General features: G+C 46.8%; 2 protein-coding genes across 61 annotated transcripts in view, besides 6 other annotated features; one reads left to right on the top strand and one right to left on the bottom strand.

The window, feature by feature from the left end:
* The window catches only part of UBAP2L (ubiquitin associated protein 2 like), a 51,339-nt gene extending 48,391 nt beyond the window's left edge, over window positions 1–2,948 (bottom strand). For 16 of the 52 annotated variants that reach the window (XM_047435856.1, NM_001375625.1, XM_047435859.1 and 13 more), the window contains exon 1: window positions 2,080–2,165. The gene's annotated coding sequence lies outside the window, so the exon portion shown is untranslated. Of the gene's footprint in view, window positions 1–1,723; window positions 1,817–2,079; window positions 2,272–2,875 lie in introns of those variants that run through there. The other 36 variants (XM_047435877.1, XM_047435868.1, XM_047435887.1 and 33 more) reach the window with 4 other exon arrangements.
* Window positions 1,662–2,409: an enhancer, noted in NCBI's record as "NANOG-H3K27ac-H3K4me1 hESC enhancer chr1:154193187-154193934 (GRCh37/hg19 assembly coordinates)". NCBI's record gives its function as "activates a minimal SCP1, AML or CMV promoter by ChIP-STARR-seq in primed H9 embryonic stem cells {active_cell/tissue: H9 hESC(primed)}" and the evidence as "EXISTENCE:reporter gene assay evidence [ECO:0000049][PMID:30033119]".
* Window positions 1,992–2,141: a silencer, noted in NCBI's record as "silent region_1351". NCBI's record gives its function as "represses an Ori minimal core promoter by ATAC-STARR-seq in GM12878 lymphoblastoid cells {active_cell/tissue: GM12878}" and the evidence as "EXISTENCE:reporter gene assay evidence [ECO:0000049][PMID:35858748]".
* Window positions 2,392–2,831: an enhancer, noted in NCBI's record as "active region_1774". NCBI's record gives its function as "activates an Ori minimal core promoter by ATAC-STARR-seq in GM12878 lymphoblastoid cells {active_cell/tissue: GM12878}" and the evidence as "EXISTENCE:reporter gene assay evidence [ECO:0000049][PMID:35858748]".
* Window positions 2,392–3,157: a biological region, named in NCBI's record as "NANOG-H3K27ac-H3K4me1 hESC enhancer GRCh37_chr1:154192439-154193186".
* Window positions 2,410–3,157: an enhancer, noted in NCBI's record as "NANOG-H3K27ac-H3K4me1 hESC enhancer chr1:154192439-154193186 (GRCh37/hg19 assembly coordinates)". NCBI's record gives its function as "activates a minimal SCP1, AML or CMV promoter by ChIP-STARR-seq in primed H9 embryonic stem cells {active_cell/tissue: H9 hESC(primed)}" and the evidence as "EXISTENCE:reporter gene assay evidence [ECO:0000049][PMID:30033119]".
* LTAP1 (lipid transport auxiliary protein 1) lies at window positions 2,530–16,400 on the top strand. Of its 9 annotated transcripts, none has more exons than NM_001297718.2 (7): window positions 2,530–2,701; window positions 3,183–3,284; window positions 8,546–8,663; window positions 9,174–9,227; window positions 10,496–10,662; window positions 10,742–10,800; window positions 15,472–16,400. In NM_001297718.2, the coding sequence occupies exons 2-7, from the start codon at window positions 3,222–3,224 to the stop codon at window positions 15,665–15,667; spliced, it is 657 nt and encodes a 218-aa protein (NP_001284647.1). In that variant the 5' UTR covers window positions 2,530–2,701; window positions 3,183–3,221; the 3' UTR covers window positions 15,668–16,400. The 9 variants fall into 9 exon arrangements, with proteins under 9 accessions (NP_001284647.1, NP_001092086.1, NP_056264.1 ...); NM_001098616.3 differs by having other exon boundaries at window positions 2,530–2,778; NM_015449.4 differs by lacking the exon at window positions 3,183–3,284 and having other exon boundaries at window positions 2,530–2,778.
* Window positions 3,002–3,071: a silencer, noted in NCBI's record as "silent region_1350". NCBI's record gives its function as "represses an Ori minimal core promoter by ATAC-STARR-seq in GM12878 lymphoblastoid cells {active_cell/tissue: GM12878}" and the evidence as "EXISTENCE:reporter gene assay evidence [ECO:0000049][PMID:35858748]".
* Window positions 16,401–16,404: the final 4 nt, after the last annotated feature.

Raw genomic sequence — 16,404 nt, 5'->3', positions numbered from 1 at the left:
ACCTAGTAGTGACAACACTGAGCAACAGGTCAAAAGTAAGTGATCTGGAATGGATCACTTGAGGGCACAGAATTAGTAGCAAGCAGACCCATTCCCAGCTATCACACTGGAGATGAAGAATCTTGTTACTTACTTGCTCTTTCTTAGAAAATAAAAAGATTTAAAGGAAGTAGGGTGAGAAGTATTGGAGACCAAGGAAATCGTGCGAGAGTAAACAGAGGTTTCAACACAGGAGTGCCCTTGACTCTTTTTTGAAAACTAGCTACTTAAAAAAATAGCCAGAGAAATTTCACTGAAAAAACTAAATAACAAATATTTATTGAGAATCTACTATGTGTCCAATACTTCAGGAAAATACAAAAGCAGTATGACTTAGTAGCTGCCCTCAGGGAGCTTACAATCTAATTTAAGAAACAATTCAGAAACTGAAGCTAGACTGAGTTGGGTAAAATTTGCTACCTCTAACAGAACAACTAATTTCTGTAGATGCTTTGTTGAAATGGCCCCTGCATCCCCTTCCCCACCACCTTGATATCTAGTTAGTAAGAGTACTTCCCAGTTAGGACATAGCAAGGAGGAGCTTTAAAGATGAAAAACAAAACAGGACATTTTTAGGCCTTTCATCACTAGTTTATGTGCCAGCAATATTTCCCATTCACAAAGGAAACAATCATTGAGATAGTCTAATCTTTAAGGACAATGGTGTCAGATCTCAAAGCAGTTTTATCAACTGATACACAGCCAAAATGTTTTAATTCTCTGTAATCATTGGGATAGTCTAATCTTTAAGTACAATGGAGACAGATCTCAAAGCAGTTTTATCAACTGATACACAGCCAAAATGTTTTAATTCTCTAGAAACGCTGGTTACTAGTAATGTCCATCACCTCCCAGCAAGTCACATCAGGTATCCCCAAAACAGGATATGCGGCGGAGGAAGGTAGGATGGGAGAGAAGACAAAAAAAAAGGATTTCTCCATTTAATAATCAGGGAGAGTCAAAGGCAAAAACGTTAACAATAATAACAAAAACGCCTGTTACTGTGGTGTTTTTCTTTCCACAACATCCTACACCAGAGGTGGCTACATTTCAAGAATGGTGGAAAAGGAGCAGTCTCCAGTTTGTGACATCAGTTTGCAAAGCAATTTAAGGGCTGTCCACAAGGTTAAGGGTTTGAAGAAACTGGGCATTCCTGTACCATTATGAGAAGAGTGAACAAATACCCCAGTGCTCTAGTGACGTCCCTTAAGCGTAAATACACCCTATGGGGGCCTCCATGTCCAGCTTCCCAAATAACACAATTGTTTGGGGTACCCAAACTACAGTATAAACAGGAAGCTAAAGACAGCAGCAAAAACATATTCCAAGAACTGGGTTGGTGAGAAAGAAGGGAGGGTAATAAGAGGAGCTGACAAAGAGCCTGGAAACGGAGAGGGGACGCAAGCCCACGGGTGGAGGATGGGAGGCTCACCCCCCTCAGCGCCACATCGAGAGCCCACGGGGCCAATCTCCTCCCTACCTCCCAGCCGGAACAAATTAATCCTTCGCACACCAAACTGAGGGCCACATGGGGGAGTTTGGGGGAGCTCCACCCCATCGCCCTCCCTCCCCCACGCCACCCCCAAACCAGGCCGGATCCGGATCAGAGGAGGCCCGCAGTGGGTGGAAAGGGAGGAGGCCCTCTCCTCCGCAGGCACCGGCCGGGGTGAAGAGAGAGCCCTACCTCAGGCAAGGCCCAGGCCTCGCTCGCTCGCGCTCTTTCTCGCTCTCCCCTCTCAGGCTCTAGCCGCATGGCCCCCCCTTCCTACGGCTGCTCCAAGCCCCGCCCCGGCCACGCTCCCAAATCGAGGCCCCGGCTCTGGCGCGGCCCACTAGGCCGCGAACCCAACCATAAACAAAACCTCCGGGGGCCGACTCGAGGTGGGGGGCGCCAGGGCTCGCATGACTCGGGGGGGGGTGTACAGTGGGGGAACACACGGTGTGGGGGGGCCTACCGAGGGAGGGGATACGGCGGGGGCAGGGGAGAAAAGAGGGAGGGTAAAAGGGGGATCGCGGATTTAAAGGGGCCGCGGACAATACCCGGCCCCGCCGCGCTGCCGCTGCCGCCGCCGCCGCCGCCAACGCCGCTGCGCTCCCAACTTTACCTCAGTCTCCTCCACACTGACACCCCGGGCCGCGCCGCCCCTGTCACGTGATATAAGATTCCCTCTTCCCCACCCCCTCCCTCCTTTTCCCTCTCGCGCTCGCTCTCGCGCCTTCCCCCGCCCACTTGCCTTCCTGCGTCCCTCAGCGCGTGACGCTAAAAGGGGCGCGCACGCAAGCGTGCGCGTGCCGCCTCGCCACGAGACACCTCTTTCCGGCTCCGCGAGTCCACCCCGCCTCCTTCACGGCGGCCCTGCCTCCACCACGTGACGCACGGATGGCCGCCGCTTCCTCTTACTGTCGTAGTTCCGCGTCTGAGCGCTCGACGCTCCTGGGTGCCATTGCCTGCCTGAGTCACGTGTCAGGGGGAAGCTGGAAGGCGTCGTTCTCCTTTCCCAGCTCTCCTGCCTGTCCGCCATGTTTTCAGGCCGGGTCTGGCTTGGTCTTCCCCCGTAAGGAAATGGCCGGGGAGCTCCAGGGGACCCAGGCGCCGTCGCTTCGGCGGAGCCTGGGCTGACCAGCCAGGACAGCGGGGTAAACCCGAACAATTCTGCGCGAGGTAGGGAGGCCATGGCGTCCGGCAGTAACTGGCTCTCCGGGGTGAATGTCGTGCTGGTGATGGCCTACGGGAGCCTGGTGAGGAGATTACCCCACCCCATTCCTGCTGTCGCATCTTACCCAGTAGAGACCCTCCTTTTGAGCTGTACCCCGTCTGCATTCTCCACCCACTCACCTGCGCCTATCCGGGCTTTGACTCCTTATTCCAGGAGTAGGTGGGAGTTTAAGTCACTTAGTCGGGCCGACCCGCCCTCGTTAGTCTAGAACCCTCCCTTTAACGCTAGAGCACAGACCCCACGCCTCCCTGCTGCTGGCTTCTTAGATCCACCCCCATCATAACGGCCTTGCTTTGCCCCAAGTTTTACCCTGAAACATTCCTGAGAGCCGGAATCTGGGGATTTGGAATGAAGGCATGCTTTTTTAAAAAAAAAACAAAACAAAACTGACTTTTTATTAAAGGATTTTTACATCTTTTTGGACAGGTGTTTGTACTGCTATTTATTTTTGTGAAGAGGCAAATCATGCGCTTTGCAATGAAATCTCGAAGGGGACCTCATGTCCCTGTGGGACACAATGCCCCCAAGGTAGGTCCTTAGGGCACAAGTTAAACATACTTCTCCAGATCTTTTAGGGTCAAGAATGAGATTTCCTCTGCCTTTAGTGATGACTTTAATTCTCATGTTTCTTTGCGTGCACTTGTCCTTGTACTTACTAAGTTGAGCAGGCACTGTGCGCTTTGGAACTTGGCTTACCTGCTCAGTGCTGTGGCAAGCATGTGGCTCATCCTGGAACTTCTGTTTTTGTATCTGCAGAATGAAGGGCTTGGGTCGAAGTTCCCAACTGTTTGTAGTAAAATATTTCCCAGCTCATCTTAAACTACCCAGTGTTTTTTGTTTGATTAGGATGGGGTTGAGATCATTAAGGTTAACCCAAGAGCAATGAGAAGGGTTACCTTTACATAATTTTAGACTTAAGAGGAGCTCCATAAATCATCTAATTCCACCATTCATGTTACCAAGAAGCCCAAGAAAAGGAGGCAGTTTACCAGAAGACGTATAGGAAGTGAATAACCCAGTGGTCTTTTATCTTTGTCTGTACTTTCTCCTTAGGTGACTGTCTTCCTTTCCTTGGCTTTAGCTACAGATGAAATTTTATCTCTATCCTAGAACTCTTTCCTGAGTTCCTTACATATATTGCCAACTGATTACCTGACATTTCCACTTAGATTTGTAGTAGACATCTCAAACCCAACATTTGTGAATCAGAATTATTGCTATCCCACTGCCACTCTCATTCTGCTTCTTTAGTCTTTCGCTTCTAAGTAAAAGACACCTGCTTCCCTTACCAACCCCCTTTTGTGTGGCTCTCCCCAGATCACTGGGACCCAGCTCCACTGGCTGAATTTTCCACCCTTTTTGCTCCTGTGATCTGGAATGGTCTTCAATTGGCTAGCTCATTCATTCTTTTGATCTTAGCTTAAATGTTACTTCCAAAAAAGGAATGCTTATTACCTATTTTAAAGTAGGTTCCCCCTCTCTTTATTTTCACATGGTACCCTGATTTTTCCTTCATAGCATTTACCATAATTTTTATGTTTGTCCATTTGTTTAAAACATGCCTCTCTCTTCCGCTAGACCGTAAGCTTCAAGAATGCAGGCACCATGCCAGTTTTGTTCACGACTATAAAGCCAGGACCTACACATAGTAGGTACTCAGTAATTTCTTGTTGAATGAAAAACAGGTTAGTGCCAGGGCCTACACATAGCAGGTACTCTGTAATTTGTTGCTGAATGAAAAACAGGTTAGTTGTAGAGCTAGAGCTCATGACTCCCTCAACTCCTAGAGCACTGTACTTTCATTAACAAGTGCTATTAACCTTCCCCTCTTTGTTCTTTGCTGACATAGTACATGAAAAGGCTCTAGGAGGATGTCCTGGCTTGAAACCTTAACAGTCCTGCCTGCCTCATGAGAAAGACATAGGGTTAGTTTCTAGCACATCATGAACCAATCAATACTTTGGCTATTCAGGGGTCCCTTGGTCTAGTTCAGAGCAATATTCCTTTTGCTTAAAAATTTTTTCTAAATTCTCAACCATTGCTAGTGAAAGTATAAATTAGTAAAACCACTTTGGAAAATAACTGGTCATTGTCTGGTAAGATTGCACATGTACCTAATCCATGGTCCAACAGTTTCTCTCCTACCATAGAGAAATTAAGTTTTGCTCATGTGTACCAAGAAACATGTGCAAGATTATTTATAGGGGCATTGTTCATAATATTTGAAGAAGAAACTTAATTCAAATGTCCACTTTTCAATTATTATATAGGCTGAGTGCAGTGGCTCATACCTGTAGTCCTAGCACTTTGGGAGGCTGAGGCCAGAAGATCATGTGAGCCCAGGAGTTACAGACTGCAGTGAGCTATGATTGCACTGATGCACTCCAGCATGGGCAAGAGCAAGACCTTGTTTCTAAAAAATAGGTAGTGGTATATTCATATTCTGGAATAGTGTAAAAAATGAAAAACTGAAGATAAATATATGAAGACAAGTCCTCAAAATACTTCTGAATGAAAAAAATTGCAAACATGAATCTCAAAAACATGCTGAGTGGGCCGGGCATGGTAGCTCATGCCGGTAATCCCAGCACTTAGGGAGGCCGAGTTGGGCAGATAACACTTGAGGTCAGGAGTTCGAGACCAGACCAGCCAACATGGTGAAACCCAATCTCTACTAAAAATACAAGAAAAAAATCCTAACTACTCGGGACGCTGAGGTAGGAGAATCCCTTGAACCCAGGTGGCAGAGGTTGTAGTAAGCTGAGATCAAACCACTGCACTCCAGCCTGGGTGACAGAGCGAGACTCTGTCTCACCAAAAACAAAAAAACCATGCTGAGTGAAGAAAGCCAAAATGCCGTTCACAAGAGAATATGTACCATGTGCTTCCACCCCATTTATATGAAATTCTAGAACAGGCAGAACTGTAAAAGAGTACATCATGTTGCCTGGGCTGGGAGAGGGGAGATTTCCAGGTGATGAAAATATTCTTTACTTTGATTGACGTGGTGGTGAAGGGGGTATGTTCATTTGTCAAACTCATCAATTTATATACATAAAATGAATGCATTTATTGTATGTAAATTCAACCTCAATAAAGTATATTTGAAAAATTTTGCTGGGTGCGGTGGCTAACGCCTGTAATCCCAGCACTTTGGGAGGCTGAGGCAGGTGGATCACCTGAGGTCAGGAGTTCAAGACCAGCCTGGCCAACACGGTGAAACCCCGACTGTACTAAAAATGCAAAAAAATTAGCTGGGCGTGGCGGTGTGTGCCTGTAATCCCAGCTACTCAGGAGGCTGAGGCAGGAGAATCACTTGAGCCCCGGCGGAGGTTGCAGTGAGCAGAGATCACACCATTGCACTCCAGCCTGGGTGACAGAGTGAGTCTCTGTATCAAAAAAAAAAAAAATTTAAGGCCAGGCGAGGTGGTTTACACCTGTAATCCTAGCACTTTGGGAGGCCGAGGCAGGCTGATCACGTCAGCTCAGGAGTTCGAGACCAGCGTAGGCAATATGGGGAAACCCTGTCTCTATAAAAAGTTTAAAAATGGGCCAGGCGCGGTGGTTCACGCCTGTAATCCCAGCACTTTGGGAGGCCCACATGAGAAGATCACAAGGTCAGGAGTTTGAGACCAGCCTGGCGAGCATGGTGAGACCCCATCTCTACGAAAAATACAAAAAATTAGCTGGGCATGGTGGCATGCGCCTGTAGTCCCAGCTACTTGGGAGGCTGAGGCAGGAGGGCAAGGAGAATTGCTTGAACCCAGCAGGCAGAGGTTGCAATGAGCCAAGATCATGCCACTGTACTCCAGTCTGGGTGACAGAGCAAGACTCCATCTCAAAAAAAAAAAATGTTTAATAATTAGCCATGCATGGTGGTGTGTGCCTGTAACCCCAGCTACTCAGGAGGCTAAGGCAGGAGGATCATCTGAGCTCAGGAGGTGGAGGTTATAGTGAGCTGAGATTGTGCCATTGCACTCCAGCCTGGGTGACAGAGTGTGACCCTGTCTCAAAAAAAAAAAATTTTTTTTTTAAACAAGTTGCAGAGGGATTCTTAAAGTATTTTTCCATTTGTATCAAGTTGAAAACCAGGCAAAGCTAAGCATCTTTTTTAGGGTGACACGATAAAACAGTGAAGAAGTGTATGAGGACTATTGACAAGTTAAGGTTTGGGGTGCGGAGCATTCAATGAGGGATGGGCACACAAGACTTGAAAGTTAGTGGTAGGGCCGGGCGCGGTGGCTCACGCCTGTAATCCCAGCACTTTGGGAGGCCGAGGCGGGTGGATCATGAGGTCAGCAGATCGAGACCAACCTGGCTAACAAGGTGAAACCCCGTCTCTACTAAAAATACAAAAAATTAGCCAGGCGTGGTGGCGGGCGCCTGTAGTCCCAGCTACTCGGGAGGCTGAGGCAGGAGAATGGCGTGAACCCGGGAGGCGGAGCTTGCAGTGAGCTGAGATTGCGCCACTGCACTCCAGCCTGGGCGACAGAGCGAGACTCCGTCTCAAAAAAAAAAAAAAAGAAAGTTAGTGGTAATGTTCCATTGCATAAACTGGATATTGGTTATAGGTGTTCATTATTATGCTTTTTATAATTATTTAAAATGTACATCTATGTTACCTGTATTTTGTGTATCTTATGTTTCACAATGGGAGTTTGTAAAAAGTTACAACAAAAAATTTATTTCCTGGGGCTCTGGTAACCCTCTTAGGTAAGAGAGATTAATATGAAACTGAAAATAGTAGTTGCTGCTGGGTAACTGAGAGGTGCTACCTTTAGTATCTTTTTTTTTTTTTTTGGAGACGTCTCACTCTGTCACGCAGGCTGGAGTGCAGTGGCGCAATCTCGGCTCACTGCAAGCTCTGCCTCCCGGGTTCACGCCATTCTCCTGCCTCGGCCTCCCGAGTAGCTGGGACTACAGGACCCCGCCACAACGCCCGGCTAATTTTTTGTATTTTTAGTAGAGACAGGGTTTCACCGTGTTAGCCAGGATGGTCTCGATCTCCTGACCTTGTGATCCACCCACCTCGGCCTCCCAAAGTGTTGGGATTACAGGCGTGAGCCACAGCACCCGGCCCCTTTACTATCTTTAAAATTTGTATACCATGAATTTGACTTGGCTATTTTAAAAGAAATATGTGTTAATTTTTTTTTAAAGTAGCCTCTAGCTAGGTGCATACCTGTAATCCTAGCTGCTCAGAAGGCTGAGGCAAGAGAGGCTGGGCGCAGTAGCTCACACCTGTAATCCCAGCACTTTGGGAGGCCAAGGCAGGCGGATCACTTGAGGTCAGGAGTTTGAGACCAGCCTGGCCAACATGGTGAAACCCCATCTCTACTAAGAATAGAAAAATTAGCCAGACATGGTCGTACGCGCCTATAATCCCAGCTACTCTGGAGGCTGAGGCAGGAGAATTGCTTGAACCTGGGAGGCGGAGGTTGCAGTGAACTGAGATTGCGCCACTGCACTCCAGCCTGGGTGATAGAGCAAGACTCTGTCTCAAAAAAAAAAAAAAAAAATTGGAAATAATGTTGGTGCTGTATAGCTTGAAGGATTTCTGGCACAAGTTAAATGTTCTAGCTTAGAGATGTGCAGCTTGGAGAGGTTATTGGAAAACCCAATCCCGTTCTTTCCTAAATTCTTACCTCTTATCTGGTAATTTTATTAACTACATGAGCATGGTCTCTATTTCTGTTGTCTTAGTTATTCATTAACTCTGCCCCATTTTCACATTGGTGGAAAGCAGAGTGCAGGGTAAATGATTGTGTATTCTTTTTTTATGTGAACAGGACTTGAAAGAGGAGATTGATATTCGACTCTCCAGGGTTCAGGATATCAAGTATGAGCCCCAGCTCCTTGCAGATGATGATGCTAGACTACTACAACTGGAAACCCAGGGAAATCAAAGTATGTGGCAAGCTCTTGGAATGCTTCAGTGAGGAGTCCCACAAGTCCAGAATTCCTTTTCTCTCAGAGTTGTCAAAAGCTGCTGGCAAAGCCTTAGTTATTCCTGTTATTGGATATATGTTAGATGCAGAGCCCATTTATTAGCTTGCTGGAGTTTGGGGAATTTTTTTTTTCTTTTTTGAGATGGAGTTTCACTCTTGTTGCCCAGGCTGGAGTGCAATGGTGCAGTCTCAGCTCACTGCAACCTCCACCCCCTTGTTCAAGCAATTCTTCTACCTCAGCCTCCTGAGTAGCTGGGATTACAGGCATGCGCCACCACGCCTGGCTAATTTTGTGTTTTTACTAGAGACGGGGTTTCTCCATGTTGGTCAGGCTGGTCTCAAACTCCTGACCTCAGGTGATCCACCCACCTCAGCCTCCCAAAGTGTTGGGATTACAGGCATGAGCCACCACGCCCAGCCTGGGGAATATTTTTAGGGTTATGCCTAACACCAGTCTTTTCCTCAACAGGTTGCTACAACTATCTGTATAGGATGAAAGCTCTGGATGCCATTCGTACCTCTGGTAAGGGCTACCTGACAGGGTCCATTCTAGGATCCTGAAAGCCCACCTAGGGAACAGAGTAATGAACCCACTTTGTATGTTAGGATTTGTCCTTTCTGCACATCCCTGGCTAGTAGGAAATTCTAGAGTTTTGAAAGTACTAGATTAGAGATTTTGCTGAAGGAAATGATATAAGCAGGTTATTCTCCAAAGAGTCTGGGTGTTTTGTTTTTTAAAGTTCTTCTCTTGAGACCTTTAGTTTCATGAAGTAGATGATAGTAATTTGCTTGTTTTTCCACAAAGGACAGGTGGCACCTGCTTTTTCACTAAGCCCAAGATAGATTGTTCTTGAATTTTTTCCATTCTGTCAACACTTGTCATATATGCTTTATCTCTATGAAAACAGTTTATATCTTAAACCTAGGATGGATGAGTAAGCAGGATGGTAAAATGTGTGATGACACTATCATGTGTCATAGATGTAGCTTACAACTGTGGTGTTACCACCAAATGACCACTCAGGCACAGCTTTATACCTTTGGTCTCAATCAGAATCTCCCTCTAACTCAACTTGCTCATTTCATTAGACCTATTTCTTTTTATTTTTGAGACGGAGTCTTGCTCTGTTGCCCAGGCTGGAGTGCAGTAGCACGATCTTGGCTCACCACAACCTCCACCTCCTGGGTTCAAGCGGTTCTCCTGCCTCAGCCTCCCGAGTAGCTGGGATTACAGGTACCTACCACCATGCCTGGTTAATTTTTGTATTTTTAGTAGGGACAGGTTTTCACCATGTTGGCCAGGCTGGTCTCAAACTCCTGACCTCAGGTGATCTGCCTGCCCCGGCCTCCCAAATTGCTGTAATTACAGGCGTGAGCCACTGCGCCCAGCTTCATTAGACCTACTTCTAAGTTTGGGGAATTAACTAGAAAGACTAAAGAATGGGGCAGGCGCAGTGGCTCATGCCTGTAATCCCAACGCTTTGGGAGGGCGAGGCAGACAGATCACAGGAGGCCAGGAGTTCAAGACCAACCTAGCCAACAAGGTGAAACCCTTTTGTATTTTTGTCTCTACTAAAAATACAAAAATAAGCCTGGCATGGTGGTGCACATCTGTAATCCCAGCTAATCAGGAGGCTGAGACTAGAGAATTGCTCAAACCTAGGAGGTGGAGGTTGCAGTGAGCCAAGATCACTGCCACTGCACTCCAGCCCGGGTGACAGAGCGAGACTCCATCTCAAAAAAAAAGACTAAAGAATGAGAAGAGATATCATTGTGCTGTTTTCTCCACAGAGATCCCATTTCATTCTGAAGGCCGGCATCCCCGTTCCTTAATGGGCAAGAATTTCCGCTCCTACCTGCTGGATCTGCGAAACACTAGTACGCCTTTCAAGGGTGTACGCAAAGCACTCATTGATACCCTTTTGGATGGCTATGAAACAGCCCGCTATGGGACAGGGGTAAGCCAGTTTTTTCTTCGGGGCACTAAAGAGATCCCTCAGACTGAGAGATCCTCACTCTTCCTTTCTCTTTCCTAAGGTCTTTGGCCAGAATGAGTACCTACGCTATCAGGAGGCCCTGAGTGAGCTGGCCACTGCGTGAGTTTGGAGGGGAACGTGTCAGAGGGAGCTGGTACAGTAGTGTTGGACTGTTGCCACAGTGCAGTGACCTTCATAAAGCATATAAACAAAATCCATGATACCATAAGAGTTGTCAGGTTCTAGACTATTAGATCAGTCTCTTACATTAGAAAGCAGATGCGGCCGGGCACAGTGGTTCACGCCTATAATCCCAGCACTTTGGGAGGCCGAGGCGGGAGGATCATCTGAGGTTGGGAATCCGAGACCAGCCTGACCAACATGGAGAAACCCCGTTCTCTACTAAAAATACAAAATTAGCCGGGCGTGGTGGCGCATGCCTGTAATCCTAGCTTCTGGGGAGGCTGAGGCAGGAGAATCTCTTGAACCCGGGAGGCGGAGGTTGCGGTGAGCCAAGATCGTGCCATTATACTCCAGCCTGGGCAACAAAAGTGAAACTCTGTCTCAAAAAAAAAAAAGAAGAAAAGAAAGCAGATGCAACTATACAAGCTAGTAAAAGAAGTTTTTACTAGCATTTTTCTTGTGTGCATTTTTCTTGTCTTTTGTTTAGCCCAATAAAATGTCAAAATTGGTGTAGCCTAGCAAAGGGAATAGTTTTTCAGCACACACAGGGATTCCTTCTCTTCAGAGTCTCAGCGTCCCTTTTGTGTCTTGGCCCAATAAAAGTAAGAATTAAATAACATTGGGCCGGGCGCGGTGGCTCACGCCTGTAATCCCAGCACTTTGGGAGGCCGAGGCAGGCGAATCATGAGGTCAAGAGATCAAGACCATCCTAGCCAACAAGGTGAAACCCTGTCTCTACTAAAAATACAAAAATTAGCTGGGCATGGTGGTGCGTGCCTGTAATCTCAGCTACTCGGGTGGCTGAGGCAGGAGAATCGCTTGACCCCAGGAGGCAGAGGTTGCAGTGAGCTGAGATCACGCCACTGCACTCCAGCCTGGTGACAGAGCAAGACTCCATCTCAAAAAAAAAAAAAAAAAAAAAAAAAAAAAAAGAATTAAATAACATCTATTTTTGGCCGGGCGCGGTGGCTCACGCCTATAATCCCAGCACTTTGGGAGGCCGAGGAGGGTGGATCACAAGGTCAGGAGTTCAAGACCAGCCTGGCCAACATGGTGAAACCTCGTCTTTACTGAAAATACAAAAATTAGCTGGGCATGCTGGCGGGCTCCTGTAATACCAGCTACTCGGGAGGCTGAGGCAGAAATCACTTGAACCCGGGAGGTGGAGGTTGCAATGAGCCGATATCATGCCATTGCACTTCAGCTGGGGTGACAAGAGCATGACTGTCTCAAAAAAAAAATAAAAATTAAAAATTAAAAAAATCTATTTTTACTACCACTTAAAGTATTAGTAACCATGTCTGAAACAAAGGCCATCGCTATAGAGTCAGCTGTTGAGCATTTGTGTCACAGGAGAGGATTCATGGCTTTTGTTTGGGAATGTTTTTAATACACACTAAACATAGTCTCGTATTTTCATGCAAATGTTAAAATCAAAGTTCTTGGCGAGAAAGGAAAGCCAATCTAGAGTAAAAACTTAGGCCGGGCGCAGTGGCTCACACCTGTAATCCCAACACTGGGAGGCCGAGGCAGGTGGATCATCTAAGGTCAGGAGTTCAAGACCAGCTTAACCAACATGGTGAAACCCCATCTCTACAAAAATACAAAAATTAGCCGGGCATGATGATGTGCGCACCTGTAATGCCAGCCACTCAGGAAGGTGAGGCAGGAGAATCGCTTGAACCTGGGAGGTGGAGGTTGCAGTGAGCCAAGATCGTGCCATTCCACTCCAGCCTAGGCGACAGAGCGAGACTCCATCTCAAAATAATAATAAACAGTTAGTTACCAGCCATAAAAATAATCTGTTTTCTGCTATGTTGAATATTGCTCTTTTTCAAGAGCTTAAGGGGTATGTCTCTCCTGTCTTCTCTCTGTCCCTAAAAATGAGCTACGTTGTCTTAAAAGATGAAAGGGCCAAGGCCTGGAGCAGTGGCTCACGTCTATAATCCCAGCACTTTGGGAGGCCAAGGTGGGCGGATCACTTGAGGCCAGGAGTTGGAGACCAGCCTGGCCAACATGACAAAACCTCATCTCTACTAAAAATATAAAAATTAGCCTGGTGTGGTGGCACATGCCTGTAATCCCAGCTATTCCAGAGGCTGAGGCAGGAGAATTGCTTGAACCCAGGAAGCAGAGGTTGCAGTGAGCCGAGATTGTGCCACTCCAGCGTGGGTGACAGAGCAAGAGTCTGTCTCGAAAAGATGAAAGGTCCTAGTAAAAACTGCTTAGAAGGCCAGCTGCAGTGGTTCGTACTTGTAATCCCAACACTTTGGGAGGCTGAGATGGGTGGATTACTTGAGCCCAGGAGATTGAGACCAACCTGGGCATCATAGTGTAACCCTGTCTCTACTAAAAATAAAAAAATTAGGCCAGGTGTGGTGGCTCACGCCTGTAATCCCAACACTTGGAGAGGCCGAGGCGGGCGGTTCATGAAATCAGGAGAGCGGGAACATCCTGGCTAACGTGAAAACCAGTCTCTACTAAAAATACAAAAAAAAAAAAATTAGCCGGGCGTGGTGGCGGGTGCCTGTAGTCCCAGCTACGTGGGAGGCTGGGGCAGGAGAATGGCATGAACCCAGGAGGCGGAGCTTGCAGTGAGCCAAGATCGCGCCACTGCACTCCAGCCTGGGCAACAGAGCAAGACTCCATCTCGAAAAAAAATTAGCTGGGAGTGGTGGCGACCACCTACCTGTAGTCCCAGCTACTCAGGAGCTGAGGTGCGTGTACCACTTGTGCCTGGGAGGCAGAGGTTGCAGTGAGCCAAGATCATGCCACTGCCCTCTAACCTGGGCAACAGAGTGAGACACTGTCTCAAAAAAAAAAAAAAAAAAAACTGCTTAGAGCACTGATGAAAATGAACATGTAGAAAGGCTGGAAAAGGGCATTTGGTCTAGAAGTCAGCAGAAGCCTGTTCAAAATTCACTTTCTTTGAAAGATAAATACTAGATGATTCCAGTTATATGAGATACCTAGGTAGTCAAACTCAGAGACAGAAAGTAGAATGATGGTTGCAGGGGCTGGAGAGTGGGGGAAATAGGGAGTTGTTCACTGGGTATAGTTTCAGTTTTGCAAGATGAAAATGTGGAGGTTGGTTGCACAACACTGTGAATATACTTAACACTACTGAACCATACATTTAAAAATTCTTAAGATGGTAAATTTTATGTTACATGTATTTTACCACAATCTTTTTAAAAATTATTTCTGAAGGCCAGGCATGGTGGCTCACGGCTGTAATCCCAGCACTTTGGGAGGCTGAGGCGGGTGGATCACCTGAGGTCAGGAGTTCAAGACCAGCCTGGCCAACATGGTGAAACCCTGTCTCTACTAAAAATAGAAAAATTGGCTGGGCATTGTGGTATGCACCTGCAATCCCCAGCTACTCGGGAGGCCGAGACAGGTCGCTTCAACCTAGGAGGCAGAGGTTGCAGTGAGCCAAGATTGTGCCACTGCACTCCAGCCTGAGCAACAGAGAAAAAGACTCCATCTCAAAAACAAAAAATTATGTTTGATTTGTAGTTTCTAGGAATGTTCATTGGGTTTAGTGAAGAGTATAGGCTTTGAAATCTGACAAACTTAGGTTTGAATCCCAGGTCTGTCACTTAACTAGTTTTGTGACCTCATACAAGCTAATTATTGGACCCTTAGTTTCCTAATCTGCAAAACAAGGTGATACCTATATTGGGGATACCTGTCTCTGAAAAAAAAGCTTGAGCCAGAGGCAAGAACTCTGGGAAATTGGTTTCTCTGCTGCTAGTTGTTTTTGGTATGAGTAGGTGTGTGTCAGGGTACCCAAACAGGGCCTTTATTCTGTCACCCAGGCTGGAGTGCTGCTACTTTTTTAGGGTGTGTGTGAGAGAGAGAGACAGGGTCTCAGTCTGTCGCCCAGACTGGAGTGCAGTGGCACATTCATGGCTCACTGCAGCCTCGAATTCTGGGTTCAAGCGATCCTCCTGCCTCAGCCTCCTGAGGAACCAGGACTACAGGTGCTTGCCACCATACCTGGCTAATTTTTTGCAGAGATAGGGTCTCACTTTGTTTCCCAGACTGGTCTCAAACTCCCCTGGGCTCAAGCGATCTCTGGCCTCTGCCTCCTGAAGTGCTGGGATTACAGGTATAAGTGACCATGCCCAGCCTCTCTGCTACTTTTTTTTTTTTTGAGATGGAGTCTTGCTCTGTCACCCAGGCTGAAGTGCAGTGGCGCAATCTTGGCTTGCAACCTCTGCCTCCTGGGTTCAAGTGATTCTCTTGCCTCAGCCTCCCGAGTAGCTGGGATTACAGGCACCCGCCACCACTCCCAGCTAATTTTTGTATTTTTAGTAGAGACAGGGTTTCACCATGTTGGCCAGGCTGGTCTCGAACTCCTGACCTCAAACAATCCACCTGCCTGGGCCTCCCAAAGTGCTGGGATTACAGGCGTGAGCCACCGCGCTCAGCCTCTTGTATTTCTAAGCTACTAGATGGGGTTTTAGTAACTAGTTTACAAAATAGGACAGATAGGACACAAATAACTATTTGTGACTATTGCTGCATTTATGGCCTGGGATAAGCCCTGATTTCTTTGATTAGTCCTCATTCTGTCAATGACCTCCCCTCTCTGTTCTTCAGGGTTAAAGCACGAATTGGGAGCTCTCAGCGACATCACCAGTCAGCAGCCAAAGACCTAACTCAGTCCCCTGAGGTCTCCCCAACAACCATCCAGGTGACATACCTCCCCTCCAGTCAGAAGAGTAAACGTGCCAAGCACTTCCTTGAATTGAAGAGCTTTAAGGATAACTATAACACATTGGAGAGTACTCTGTGACGGAGCTGAAGGACTCTTGCCGTAGATTAAGCCAGTCAGTTGCAATGTGCAAGACAGGCTGCTTGCCGGGCCGCCCTCGGAACATCTGGCCCAGCAGGCCCAGACTGTATCCATCCAAGTTCCCGTTGTATCCAGAGTTCTTAGAGCTTGTGTCTAAAGGGTAATTCCCCAACCCTTCCTTATGAGCATTTTTAGAACATTGGCTAAGACTATTTTCCCCCAGTAGCGCTTTTTTCTGGATTTGCATTCAGGTGTTATTCTTAATGTTTCTGTCAAAGCTTCTTAAAAATCTTCACTTGGTTTCAGCCATAGTTCACCTTCCCTGTTCCAGGTTTATTTAATTCCAAAGGTGAGAGTTGGAGTGAGATGTCTTCCATATCTATACCTTTGTGCACAGTTGAATGGGAACTGTTTGGGTTTAGGGCATCTTAGAGTTGATTGATGGAAAAAGCAGACAGGAACTGGTGGGAGGTCAAGTGGGGAAGTTGGTGAATGTGGAATAACTTACCTTTGTGCTCCACTTAAACCAGATGTGTTGCAGCTTTCCTGACATGCAAGGATCTACTTTAATTCCACACTCTCATTAATAAATTGAATAAAAGGGAATGTTTTGGCACCTGATATAATCTGCCAGGCTATGTGACAGTAGGAAGGAATGGTTTCCCCTAACAAGCCCAATGCACTGGTCTGACTTTATAAATTATTTAATAAAATGAACTATTATCAAATAAAACGTA

This window comes from Homo sapiens, chromosome 1, assembly GCF_000001405.40.
Source record: "Homo sapiens chromosome 1, GRCh38.p14 Primary Assembly".
NCBI classification, from domain to species: Eukaryota; Metazoa; Chordata; class Mammalia; order Primates; family Hominidae; genus Homo; species Homo sapiens.
Note: the sequence above shows the minus strand (reverse complement) of the source record. Positions and strands in the feature narration are given on the sequence as shown.